Here is a 14372-nt window from a genome sequence, read left to right as displayed (position 1 = left end):
TAGGAAGTACACTGTCAAGGATAAACTTAATAAAGGGCTGATCAGTTGTATACATTTTGAAGGAAGAAAGAGAAACACTGGTGTGGAAGAGAACATCCTGGGTGGATAAGATTATACTTGCAAAGGGAAGAATGCGAAAGTCATTCTCAACAGTCCATAAGTGGCTCATCTTTTTTTTTTTGAGACTGAGTCTTGCTCTGTGTCCCAGGCTGGAGTGGCACAATCTCGGCTCAGTACAATCTCCACCTCCCAGGTTTAAGCAGTTCTCGTGCCTCAGCCTCCCAAGTAGTTGGGATTATAGGCGTGTGCCACCACACTTAGCTAATTTATTTTGTATTTTTAGCGGAGACGGGGTTTTGCCATGTTGGCCAGGCTGGTCTTGAACTCTTGGCTTCAAGTGATCTGCCCACCTTGGCCTCCCAAAGGGCTGGGATTACAAGCGTGAGCCACTGTGCCTAGCCTAAGTAGCTCATCTTAACTCAAACAGAGAACTCTATACATAGTAAAAAATGAGAATAGTATTTACATTTGATGAAAAGAAGTCTGTCTAGACAAGTATATTTGGATTTGAACTACTGTGGATTTTAGAGAGGAAGAAGTGACATAATGCCATAAGAAGGATGAATGGACCAGGCACAGTGGCTCATGCCTGTAATCCCAGCACTTTGGGAGGCCAAGGCGGGTGGATCACGAGGTCAAGAATTCAAGACCAGCCCGGCCAAGATGGTGAAACCCCGTCTCTACTAAAAATACAAAAATTAGGCATGGTGGTGGGCGCCTGTAATCCCAGCTACTTGGGAGGCCAAGGCAGAGAATTGCTTGAATCTGGGAGGTGGAGGTTGCAGTGAGCCGAGATCGTGCCACTGCACTCCAGCCTGGATGACAGAATGAGATTCCATCTCAAAAAAAAAAAAAAAAAAAAAAAAGAAGGATGAATGGACAAGGGAGAGATTATAACAGCTTAAATTAGGCATGATAATCTAAATATGGTGAAATTGTTTCACAGTCTTACAATGTTAGTGAAGAAAAAAATAGAATACATTTCTTAATTCTTTATTCTCAGGGAATATTAAACAAACACAGTTAAACAAATTTTGGCACAAGAAAATTTCAACAGCCATGTCCAAACTTGGTAAACATTTTGTACATAACTATATATATTGCTCCTTTTATATTATCAAGCCAAAGATAGAGTAGATCCTCTCAGCCAAATATACTAGGAGTCACATAAAAATTGCTATGAAATTTACCAAAAACTAAGGACTTCATTATTTGTTAAAAATGTGTTAGAATCACATTAATAGAATGAAAGGGAGGGAAGAAAACACATGATCATCTTAATTGATGCAGAAAGGCATTTGACAAAATCCAACACCCTTTCATGATTTAAAAAACTCTCAGAAAACTAGGAATACAAGCGAACTTCTCAGCATGATAAAGGGTGTTCATGAAAAACCCACAGCTAATATCATATTCAATGGTAAAAGACTGAAAACTGTCCTCCTAAGATAAGGTACGAAATTAGGATGTCCACTTTCACCAATAATCAAGACCTTAGTTTTTGGCAAATGACGTATACATAGGAACTCCCAAAGAATCCACAAGAAAGCTAGAGCTACTAAATTAATTCAGCGAAGTTTCAAGGTATAAGCTGAACACACAAAATCTGTTGTCTATATACCAGCAAAGAATAATACAAGAAAGAGATTAAGAAGTCCATTAAAATAGCATCTAAGAATAAAACACCCAGGAATAAATTTAACAGAAGAAGTTCAAGACTTGTACACTGAAAACTATAAAACATTGCTGAAAAATAAGACCTGATAACTGGAAAGACATCTCCACGTTCAATGATAGGAATAGTTAGCATCGTTAAGATGTCACTACTAGCAAAGTGATCTACAGATTTAATGCAGTCCCTAACAGTATTCCAATAGCTTTTTTTGTGAAAGTGGAACAGACAGTACTCAAATCCACAAGAATTGCAAGGGGACTCAAATAGCCAAAGCAATCTTAAGAAGAATGAAGTTGAGAGATTGACATTACTCAATTTCAAAGCACACCACAAAGCTAAGCAATCAAAAGCATTGTGGTACTCTAGCATAAGGATAAACATACAGACCAATGGAATAGAATTGAGTTTTCAGAAATAAACCCATACATATACAGCCGGTAGACTTTTGACAAGGCTACCAGGTTCATCTAATGGAGAAAGAATAGTCTCTTCAACAGATGGTGCTGGTATAACTGTAAGTTCACATTGCAAAAGTAGGAAATTGGACCCCAACCTCATGCCATATAAAAAGTTAAAATGGCTGGGTGTGGTAGCTCACACCTGTAATCCCAGCACTTTTGGAGGCTGAGGCGGGTGGATCACTTGAGGACAGGAGTTCTAGACCAGCCTGGCCCACATGGCAAAACCCCATCTCTTCTAAAAATACAAAAAATTAGCCAGCCATGGTGGTACACCTCTGTAGTCCCAGCTACTTAGAAGGTTGAGGCATGAGAATTGCATGAACCCGGGAGGTGGAGGGGGCAGTGAGCCAAGATCACACCACTGTACTCCAGCCTGGGTGACAAAGTGAGACTTCATCTCAAATATTATAATAATAAAAATAAAATGCATCAGTGACCTAAATATAAGTGCTAAAACCATAAAACTCATAGAAGAAAACAAAGGGATAAATCTTCATGACCTTGGATTAGGCAGTGGAGTCAGATATGACAACAAAAGCATGAACAACAAAAGAAATATTGGGTAAGTTAAACTTCATCAAAATCAAAGACTTTTGTGCTTTAAAGGACATTATTAAGAAAGTGAAAAGCAACAGAATGGGAGAAAATATTAGCAAATCATAGATAAGGGTTTACTATCCAGAATATATAAAGAACTCCTACAACTCAACAATAAAAAGGCCAACAACCCAATTAAAAATGATCAGGGTTCGGTGCAGTATCTGTAATCTCAGCACTTTGGGAGGCTGAGATGGGAGGATCATGGGAACCCAGGAATTTGAGACATGCCTGGGCAACATAGTGAGACTTCATCTCTATAAAAAACTTAAAAAATTAGCCAGGCATGGTGGCACACACTGTGTACCAGCTACTCAGGAGACTGAGGTGGGAAGGTTGCTTGAGTCTGGGAGGGAGAGGTTACAATGAGCCAGTATTGCACGACTGCACACCAGCCTGGGTAATAGAGCAAGACTATCTCAAAAAAAAAAAAAAAGTAGGCCAGGCGTGGTGGTTCACTTCTGTAATCCCAGTGCTTTGGAAGGATGAGGTGGGAGGCTCACTTGAGGCCAGGAATTTGAGACCAGCCTGGCTGCATAGTGAGACCCTGTCTCTACAAAAAAGTTTTGTTTTTGTTTTTGTCTTTGTCTTTGTTTTTTTTTAATAGCCTGGCGTGGTGGCACACACCTGTGGTTCTAGCTACTCAGGAGAGTGAGACAGGAGGATCTCTTGAACCCAGGAGTTCAAGGCTACAGTTAGTTATGATCATCCACTGTACTCTAGGCTGGATGAAAGAGCAAGACCCTGTCTGTAAATAAAATAGGTCGAAGGACTTGAATATATAAATAGCCAGCAAACACATGAAAAGATGCTCAGCATCATTAGTTATTAGGGAAATGCAAATTAAAACCTCAGTGAGAAACCACACCCACTAGGATGGCTATAAAAAACAAAACAGAAAATAATGAGCTGGTAAAAATGTATAGAAATTGGAACCCTGGTACATTGCAGGTGGGAATGTAAAATGGTGCAGCCACTGTGGAAAACAGTGGTTCTTCAAAAATCTAAAAATAGAATTACTGTATGATCCAGCAATTCCACTCCTAGATATATGCCTGAAATAATTGAAAACAAGGACTCAAACATATTCGTATGTCACTGCAGCATTATTCATAATAACCAAAAGGGTAGAGGCACCCTAAGTGTCCATCAACAGATGAGTGGACAAACAAAATGTGATCTATATATACAAGTAGAGTATTATTCACTGATACAAAGGAATGAAGTTATGATACATGTGACAACATGAGTGAACCTTGAAAACATACTAAATAAACCAGACACAAAAGAACAAATATTTAATTCTACTTATATCAAGTAATCTAGAATAGGCAAAGGCATAAAGGGAAAAAATAGATTGGAGGTTATCAGAGGTGCTGGGCTAGGGGAGGGGTGGGAAGTTCTTACCAGTTAGCAGAATTTCTCTTTGGGATGATATAAACTATGTGGAACTAGATAGTAGTGATGGTAGCACAATGTTGTGAACATAATTAATGCCACTGAATTTCACACTTTAAAACGGGTCAAATGACAAATATTATATCTGTTTTACCCTATAACTTAAAAAATGTATGATAGCTATAAAATCTGCATATAATCTAAGTATACTCAGTCTGCCTTCTCCTCCCAAGTAATATTGTAATAGTTCACTGGTAGAGAAGAGGAGCAGTAATGATAATACTTGGGTGATAAATAAATTGCATAATTATAAAATAAAGGAGACTCAAGTAAAAAGGAAGCAAGGCTTAGTAAGTTCTTATGGTAAACCAGAATGTCATGATAATCTGGTAAGGCAGTTGTGTTCTTTCACTCATTATATAATTAAGAAATTCCTGTTTGTACCATCTGAAAAACAGAATTACACTTACTGTTTAGCATCATCCTTTTAGGATGAAAACATCCTGATTTCATTAGAAACGAAAAAATGGTGACTAAAACTCATTGAACATGGTATTGGAAATTGTAACTGTTATTATCTACTCATATTCTTCAAATATACGATGTCAGTTTTTATTAGAAAATAGGCTTTCATTCAGTCTTTTTCCATTTTATTTTGAGAAATTTGAAAAGCCATAGGCATATTAAAAAGTAATACAGTTTACACCATTTACCATTCATTAGATCACAAGTTGTTAACAATTTGGTTTAGTGTATTTACTTTCTTTGTGAACCATTTTAAACTGAGTTGCAGGTGTCATTCCTACATATTTTGACGTGCATCTTCTAAGAATAAGGACATCTCTACCTACCACAATAACATTTCCAACCTAATAAAATTAATAATTCCATAATTACATAATATCTGATTCAAATTCAGATGTTTCCCAGTTGTTTCAAAATACTTTTATACCTCCCAGCCCCGGGATCTAGTCAAGGCTCATGCTTTATATTTGGATGTCTCTTCAGTCTCTTTTAATTTAGAACAGTCCCCTTCATTTTTTCCCCATGAAATTTTTTTTTTAATATTTAATAATAGAGTATTTTAATTAATTTTAAATAGAGTATTATTAATATTTAATAATATAGAGTATTTTAAGATAGAAAAATAGTATTATTTCAGTTAATGTTGCAAAAATCTTTTTTTTTTTTTTTTGAGATGGAGTCTCTTTCTGTCACCCAGGCTGGAGTGCACTGGTGCAATTTCGGCTCACTGCAAGCTCCGCCTCCCGGGTTCACACCATTCTCCTGCCTCAGCCTCCCGAGTAGCTGGGACTACAGGCGCCTGCCACCATGCCTAGCTAATTTTTTGTATTTTTAGTAGAGACGGGGTTTCACCGTGTTAGCCAGCATGGTCTCGATCTCCTGGCCTCGTGATCCGCCCACCTCGGCCTCCCAAAGTGCTAGGATTACAGGCGTGAGCCACCGTGCCTGGCCGCAAAAATCATTTTTATTCAAGCTTGGGATCGTTGTGAATTGTATTTGGAAATACTTTAAGTATTTATTCAGAAACTTTATAACCGGTGACTTTGTACAAGTAGGAATATATTCTGTAGGCTAGGATTTCTCAAATCTTTATTAATCTTATTGGATAAACTTTATAGTTTTAAAAAAAAAAAAAAAGATCTAGGCCAGGTGCAGTGGCTAACACCTGTAGTCCCAACACTTTGGGAGGCCAAGGTGAGAGGACTGCTTGAGCCCAGCCTAGGCAACATGGCAAGACCTTCTGTCTTCAAAAAATTTAAAAATTAGCCAGGCATGGTGTTGCACACCTCTTTTCCCAGCTACTTGGGAGACTGAGGCAGGTAGATAGCTTGAGCCCACGAGGTCGAGGCTGCAGTGGGCCATGTTCATGCCACTGCACTCCAGCCTGGCTGGCAGAGCAAGACCCTGTCTCAAAAAACAAAACAAAAATTTACTCTTCTTGAATATTATTAATATTTGAAAGTGCAAAGTCTTTTTAGTCAAAATTTAAAATGTCTTACAACAGGCTTTTTAAAAATGCATTTGTCCTTTGGAAATTAAGATACTTCCTTTTATCTTCTTTGAAGTCCACTACTGTATTGTATGAAGCATAGTTAATAGAAAAATGTTTCAGTCATACAAAAATTTAGGTAAAATTTTGCTAAAAATTATCCATATTTATAAACTGATGATAATATTTGTTAGACAACCAGGTCAGCAAACTATAGCTTATAGCCATATTTTGCCAATTTTTGTATACCTCACAAGATGATTTTTTTTACGTTTTTTGATTGTTAAAAAAAATAACTATTTCCTATCAGCGAAATATTTTGAAATTCATATTTCAGTATTCCTACATAAAGTGTTATTAGAACACTGCCATACCCATTTGTTGATGTATCACCTGTGGCTTTCTTTGTGCTACAGTGCCAGAGTTGATTAGTTGCAACAGCGATTATATAGCTTACAAAACTTAAAATACTACTCTCTGGGCCTTAATAAAAAAATGTTTGCCAACCTCTGCTCAAAACAGTAACAGCTCATTTATATACAAATATGTAGCTTTTGCTTTTCCCATATTAAGTTGTTCATTTGTAAAAAGAAATTGTAGCCTAATAACCAAATTATACTTTTTCCTTTAAGATTGAAGACCCACTAGCTATTCTTATTCTCTTTGATGAAGCCAGATATAATTTATTGAAGGGCTTTTATACAGCTCCTGATGCTAAGCTGATAACATTGGCAAGTCTGCTTTTGCAAATAGTCTATGGAAATTATGAGAGTAAAAAACACAAGCAAGGTTTCCTAAAGTAAGTATTTAATATTATGCATGGTCTTGTGCTATGCTTAAGATTCTGTTTAACCAAGAAAGTTTAAAAATGTTATTAGAAAATATTTATACATTACATTGGTTTGGAATTAAATAATATAAGACATAGAATGAGAAAAAATATTATACTAAAGCATTCTTAAAGTTATACTCTCCAATTTTACTTTTCTTATATTTGACTATAGTTTGATATACTTTATATTTTTCTTTATCTTTCTTTATGCTTAAATAAGTTCACTAAAACCTGACTCGAATAAGTAGTAAAACATTTTATAAGGCAGATGTACTTAAGAATCCCACCATAAAAACTAGTTTTATGTTCAGTCTTTGAGAGAAAACACTGAGGTTTTAAGCATATCTGAATTTGGTTATTGTGGTTTTCAATTTTCAAAAATATTTTCTGGTTATTGAAAGAAGAAACATTTATCTAAATTGATAATATGAGATTTGTGGCTTTTTGCTTAACATTTTTAGAGTTCTCTGATATTTTACAGCAAAATATTTTTCAGGTTAAAAATTACGTTACTGAAAGCCATTTGTAACAGAATGATTACTATACTTTAGCTACTAAAGATGATTTATTTAAAGGATGTTGGCATGTGTGCTTACAGTGAAGAAAATCTAAAATCCATCGTACCTGTTACCAAACTGAAAAGTAAGGCACCTCACTGGACAAATCGCATACTTCATGAATACAAGGTAAGCTGTTTAATAGAAATGAAAAGACATTTTATAGGCTAGTTGAAACTTTGTTAGTGTTATAAATATTTTAAACAGAGGTAGATTAAATTTATAGTCCTGAAATTAAAAATGTATCTTCTAGTTCACAATGCTTGAAATTGAAAGTAGCAAGATATTTTTATTTTTAGTAATATATAATCTTTTACTGAATACCTTCAACATGCCAAATACTGTGGTAAGGACTAAAGATAAAAATTTGAAATAATATACTATCCATGCCCGTGAAGCAATTAAAACCCAATAACATAGACAGTATTTTTAGACCTCAATTTTTTTTTTTAATATTAACATCACAAGAGAAAAAGTACTCCTGATACAATGTGCCATAATTTTATTCTTTAGGGGCAATCTTGATTTTAGAAACTGCTTAGTTGATCTATTTGGATTATCAATGGTACATTTTCCTTTCATATCTCTTTTATTTTTAATTTACCTTGTTTGTTTTTAGAATCTCAGTACAAGTGAAGGTGTCAGTAAAGAAATGCATCACCTTCAGCGCATGTTCTTACAGAATTGCTGGGAAATTCCTACTTATGGAGCAGCATTTTTCACAGGACAGATATTTACAAAGGCAAGCCCCAGCAATCATAAAGTCATCCCTGTGTATGTAGGAGTGAATATAAAAGGACTTCATCTCCTCAACATGGAAACTAAGGTAGATTTTCAGCTCTTTTTTACCAATCATGTCATATAATAGTTAAAACAACAGTACCAACCTACATGAAGAATTTAGAAATGGCATATATACAAGACTGTTCATTGCAACTCATTCATTACATAAGAGGAAGGGGGACACTAAATCACTGTCAGTAAGGCGTTAATATTATATTACATTTCTGCATTAGAATACCCTTCAGCCATAAAAAAGAATAAAGAGTATTTTTGTGTAGAATGATCTGCAAGATACATTTAATGAAAAAGCAAGGTGCTGAACAATATGTAATATGCTGCCTACTCTTGCTATTAAAATGGGAGGAAATGAGGATGATTTTTACATAAATACATATTGCTTGTATATGCATAAAATATTTCTTGAAGCCTTTAGAGAAGGGAACCAGGTAACTAGGAATAAAAGTAAGGAGGGAAACTTTTCATTACATACCTATCTAGTTCAGGCCACTATAACAAAGCCCTATAGACTGATTGGCTAATGAACAACAGAAGTTTTATTTCTCACAGTTCTAGAAACTGGAAGTCTGAGATCAGCGTGCTAGCGGGGTTGGATTCTAGTGAGAGCGTTTTTCTGGGTTGGAGACTGCTGACATCTCCTTGTAGCCTCATATGGCAGAAAGAATGAGGGAGTTATCTTGGGGTCCCTTTTATAAAGGCATGAATCCCATTCATGTGGGCCCTGCTCTCATAAATTATGGCATAATTACTTCTCAAAGGCTCTACCTCCCAATACCATCACTTTAGGAGTTAGGATTTCAACATACCAATTTTGGGAGGCAGGACACAAACATTCAGTCCATAACAATGCCATTTTGCAACTTGAAAGTTTTAACTGTGTGATTATGTTGCCTGTTTAAAACATTTGTTAGGTTAATTGAAAAAGATGAAAAAAAGAAAAATATTATATGTGACACAAGGGCTTCACTTTGAAAAATTAGAATTAGTACAAGAACCTTTTGGGGAGCAGGATGAAGTATGGAAGGGATTGAATATCCACTAGAATACTTCAGAGCTTCTTTCTTGTTTTTTGTTTTTCACATTTAAACATTTTTTTATTTATGTATTTATTTTTTGAGACAGGGTCTCACTCTGTTCCCCAGGCTGGAGTTCAGTGGTGCAATCATAGCTCACTGCAGCTTTGAACTCATGGACTCAAGCAATCCTCCTACCTCAGCCTCCTGAGTAGCTGGGACTATAGGCACGTAACACCATGCCTGGCTTTTTTTTTTTGTTGTTTTTTGTTTTCTTTCAGAGACAGGATCTTGTTATGTTGCACAGTTTGGTCTCAAACTCCTGGCCTCAAATGATCCTCCTGCCTCAGCTTCCCAAAGTGCTGGGATTACAAGCATGAACCACTGGGTCCCACTCATTTTTTTAATTGATACATAGTAGTTGTACATATTTATGAGGTACATGTCATATTTTGATACATGCATATAATATGTAATGATCAAATCAGGGTAATTAGGAAATTCATCACCTTAAATATTTATCATTTCTTTGTATTGGGAACATTTCAACTTATCTCTTAGCTATTTTGAAATATACAATAAATTATTAACTATAGTCACCCTAGTGTACTATGAAACACGGCAACTTATTCATTCTATCTAACTGTATGTTTGTACCCGTTAACTGACCCTCTCCTTATTCCTACCCTACCCTACCCTTCCCAGCTCTGGTAATCATCATTCAACTCTCTACCTCCTTGACATCAACGTCTCACGTATATGAGAACATAGGGTATTTGACTTTCTGTGCCTGGCTAATTTCACTTAACAAAATGACCTCCAATTCCATTCATGTTGTTGCGAATGCAAGATTTCATTCTTTTTTATGGCTGAATAATATTTCATTGTGCATATATACCACGTTTTCTTTATTCATTCATCTGTTGGGAGACACTTAGGTTGATTCCATATCTTTGCTATTGTGAATAGTGCTGCAGTCAACATGGGGTTGCAGGATCCCACTGATTTCCTTTCCTTTGGAAGAATACTCAGTAGTGAGATTGCTGGTTCATATGGTAGTTTTATTTTTAGTTTTTGAGAAACCTCTATACTGTTTTCCATAATGGCTCTACTAGTTTATATTCCCACTAACTCTGTATAAAAGTTCCCTTCTGTCTGCATCCTCACCAGCATTTGTTATGTTTTTGTCATTTTGATAATAGCCATTCTAACTGGGGTGGGATGAAATGTCACTGTGGTTTTGACTTGAACTTCCCTGATGATTACTCGTGGTAAGCATTTTTTAATATACTTCTTGGCCATTTGTATGTCTTCTTTTGAGAAATGTCTGTTCTAATCATTGCCTACTTTATAATGGGATATGTTTGTTTGCTGTTGAATTGTTTGATTTCCTTGTAAATTTTGGATATTAGTCCCTAGTCTAATGAACAGTTTGAAAATACTGTCTCCCATTCACCACATTGTCTCTTCACTCTGTCGATTGTTACGTTAGCTGTGCAGAAGCTTAATAGTTTAAATAGTCCCATTTGTCTGTTTTTGTTTTTGTTGCCTATGCTTTTGAAGTCTTAACCATAAAATCTTTGCCTAGACCAATGTCCAAAAGCATTTCCCTTATGTTTTCTTCTACTAGTTTTATAGGCTCAGGTCTTACATTTAGGTTTTTTATCCATATTGACTTGATTTCTGTATATGGTGAGAGATGGAGTCTAGTTTTATTCTTGTGCATGTGGGTATCCAATTTTTCCAACACCATTTATTGAACAGGGTGTTTTTTTCCCCAATGTTTGTTCTTGGCACCTTTGTTGAAAATGAGTTGGCTGTAAATACATGGATTTATTTCTGGGTTCTCTGTTCCATTGAGATCTGTATTTACAATAACATCATGCTGTTTGGTTACTGTAGGTTTGTGTAGTTTATTTTTTGAAATTAGATAGTGTGATGCCTCCAGCTTTGTTCTTTTTTTCTCACTATTGGTTTGGCTATTTGGAATCTTTTGTTATTCCAAATGAATTTTAGAATTTTTTTTTATTTCTGTAAAGCATGTCATTGGTATTTCAATAAAGATTGCATTGAATTACTTGATTGCTTTGGGTAATATTGCTGTTTTATTTTTATTGATTGATTGATTGATTTTGAGATAGAGTCTTGCTTCATCACCCAGGCTGGAGTGCGGTGGCGTGATCTCGGCTCACTGCAACCTCTACCTCTTGGGTTCAAGCAGTTTTCCTGCCTCGGCCTCCCAAGTAGCTGGGATTACAGGCTTGCACCACCATGCCCAGCTAATTTTTTTTTTCTTTTGTATTTTTAGTAGAGACAGGGTTTCACTATGTTGGCCAGGCTGGTCTTGAACTTCTGACCTCAGGTGATCCACCCACCTCGGCCTCCCAGAGTGCTGGGATTACAGGCATGAGCCACCATGCCTGGCCTATATTGCTATTTTAACAATATTAACTCTTCCAATCCATGAGCATGGATATCTTTCCAATTTTTTGTGTGCTCTTGAATTTCTTGCATCAGTGTTTTGTAGTTTTCATTACAGAGGTCTTTCAGTTTTTTAGTTAGATTTATTCTCAATTATTTGATTTTTTTTACTAGCTATAGTAAATGAGATTGCTTTCTTGATTTCTTTTTCAGCTGGTTCATTATCGGTGTATAGAAATGCCACTTATTTTTGTATGTGAATTTTGTGTCCTGCAACTTTATTGAATTTGTTTTATCAGTTCTGTTAGTTTTTTGGTAGAGTCTAGGTCTTTCTGTATATAAGATCATGTCATCTGCAGAGAGGGACAGTTTGACTTCCTGTTTACCAATTTGTATGGCTTTTATTTCTTTCTCTTACCTGATGCTCTCTCTAGGACTTCCAGTACTTCCAGTACTATGTTGATTAAGAGTGGTTGAAAGTGGGGTATCCTTGTCTTATTCTAGTTCTTATAAGAAAGGCTTTCAGCTTTTCCCCTTTCAGTATGATGTTAGCTGTGGGTTTGTCATATATGTATGGCCTTTATTGATTGAAGTATGTTCCTTCTATGTGAATTCGCTGAGAGGTTTTTTTTTTCATCACGAAACGATATTGAACTTCATGAAATTCTTTTTCTGCACTTATTGAAACTATTATATGGTTTTTGTCCTTCATTCTATTGATTGTATCACATTTATTAATTTGCATATGTTGAATCATCCTCACCTCCCGGGCATAAATCCCATTTGATCATGGTGTGTTATCTTTTTGATGTGTTGTTGGACGCAGTTTGGTAGTATTTTGTGGGTGATTTTTGCATCTATGTTTTTCAGGACTGTTGGACTCTTGTTTTCTTTTTTGTTGTGTCCTTGTCTGGTTTTGTTATTGGAATGATGCTGGCCTCGTTGAATGAGTTAGGAAGAATCCTCTTCAGTTTTTTGGTCCATTTTAAGAAAGTTGGTATTCTTCATTATAGGTTTGGTAGAATTTAGCAGTGAAGTCATCTGGTTTTTGTTTATTGAGAGACTTTTTGTTCCTGATTCAACCTCATTACCGAGAATTTATCTGTTGAGGTTTTCTTTTCCTTCCTGGTTCAATATTGGTAGGTTGTCTGTGTCCAGGAATTTATCTTTTTCCTCTAGGTTTTCCAATTTGTTAGCCTATCATTGGTCCTAATAGTCTCTAAGGAGTCTTTGTTATTTCTGTGGTCTCAGTTATAATGTCTCTTTTATCATTTATGATTTTGTTTATTTGGATTTTCTTTCTCTCTTGGTTAGTCTACCTAACAGTTTACTCATTTTATCTTTTTGAAGAACCAACTTTTCGTTTTGTTGATCCTTTGTAATTTTTTTCTTTTTTCTTTTTTTTTAAGTCTTTCTTTCTTTTAGTTCTGGTCTGATCTTTCTTATTTCTTTCCTTCTGCTAATTTCAGGGTTGGTTTTTTCTTGCTTTTCTAGTTCCTTGAGGTGCATCGTTAAGTGTTTGAGATCTTCCTACTTTTTTGCCATAGATGTTATTGCAGTAAACTTTCCTCTTACACTGCTTTTGCTACATCCCTTAGGTTTTGGTATATGGTGTTTTCATTTTCATTGCATTTGAGAAATTTTTTTATTTCCTTCTTAATTTTTTAATTGACCCAGTGGTCATTCAGGAGCATGTTGTTTAATTTCCTTTTATTTGTACAGTTCCCAAAATTTCTTTTGTTACTGATTTATAGTTTTATTTCATTGTGATCTGAGAAGATACTTTTACAAAATTTGTTGGGACTTGTTTTTTGGCCTAACAGATGGTGTATCCTGGAGAATGTGTGTTCTGCAGCTGATGGATGAAATGTTTTGTAAATGTCTGTTAGATCCATTTATTTATTTATTTGTTTGTTTATATTTTTTTAGAGACAGAGTCCTGCTCTGTCGCCTAGGCTGAAGTGCAGTGAGCAATTTCAGCTCACTGTAAAACCTCTGCCTCCTGGGTTCAAGCGATTATCCTGCCTTAGCCTCCTGAGTAGCTGGGATTACAGGCATGTGCCACCACACCTGGCTAATTTTTGTATTTTTAGTAGAGACGAGGTGTAGCCATGTTGCCCACGCTGGTCTCAAACTCCTGGCCTCAGGTGATCCAACCACCTCGGCCTCCCAAAGTGCTGGGATTACAGGCGTGAGCCACTGCACCTGGCTGTTAAATCCATTTAGTCTAAAGTGCAGTTTAAATCCAGTGTTTTTTTGTTAATTTATTTTGATCCATTCAGTGTTGAGAGTGGGGTGTTGAATTCCCCAACTATTATTGTATTGGAGTCTGTCATTCCCTTTAGATCTAATAACAATGGCAAAAATCGCAGTTATTTTTGCACCAACCTAATATAAAGCTTTTTTTTTTTCTTTAACTTTTAGCATTTTAAACACATCATCCCAGGCTCTTCTGGCCTGTAGTTTCTTCTGAGAAATCTGTTGTTTGTTTGATGGCAATGTCCTTATATGTGACCTGATGCATTTATCTTATGGTTTTTAGA

At 35.8% G+C, this 14372-nt stretch overlaps 1 protein-coding gene across 34 annotated transcripts in view; it reads left to right on the top strand.

Moving 5' to 3' along the window:
• The window catches only part of KRIT1 (KRIT1 ankyrin repeat containing), a 47132-nt gene that overhangs the window by 24486 nt on the left and 8274 nt on the right, over positions 1–14372 (top strand). For all 34 annotated transcript variants that reach the window (NM_001350672.1, NM_001350676.1, NM_001350673.1 and 31 more), the window contains 3 exons: positions 6838–7004; positions 7636–7723; positions 8214–8420. In NM_001350672.1, the coding sequence (NP_001337601.1) occupies positions 6838–7004; positions 7636–7723; positions 8214–8420 (462 nt within the window). The remainder of the gene's footprint in view (positions 1–6837; positions 7005–7635; positions 7724–8213; positions 8421–14372) is intronic.

This window comes from Homo sapiens, chromosome 7 (genome assembly GCF_000001405.40).
Source record: "Homo sapiens chromosome 7, GRCh38.p14 Primary Assembly".
Lineage (NCBI taxonomy): Eukaryota > Metazoa > Chordata > Mammalia > Primates > Hominidae > Homo > Homo sapiens.
This window is presented reverse-complemented; position numbering and strand designations above follow the sequence as displayed.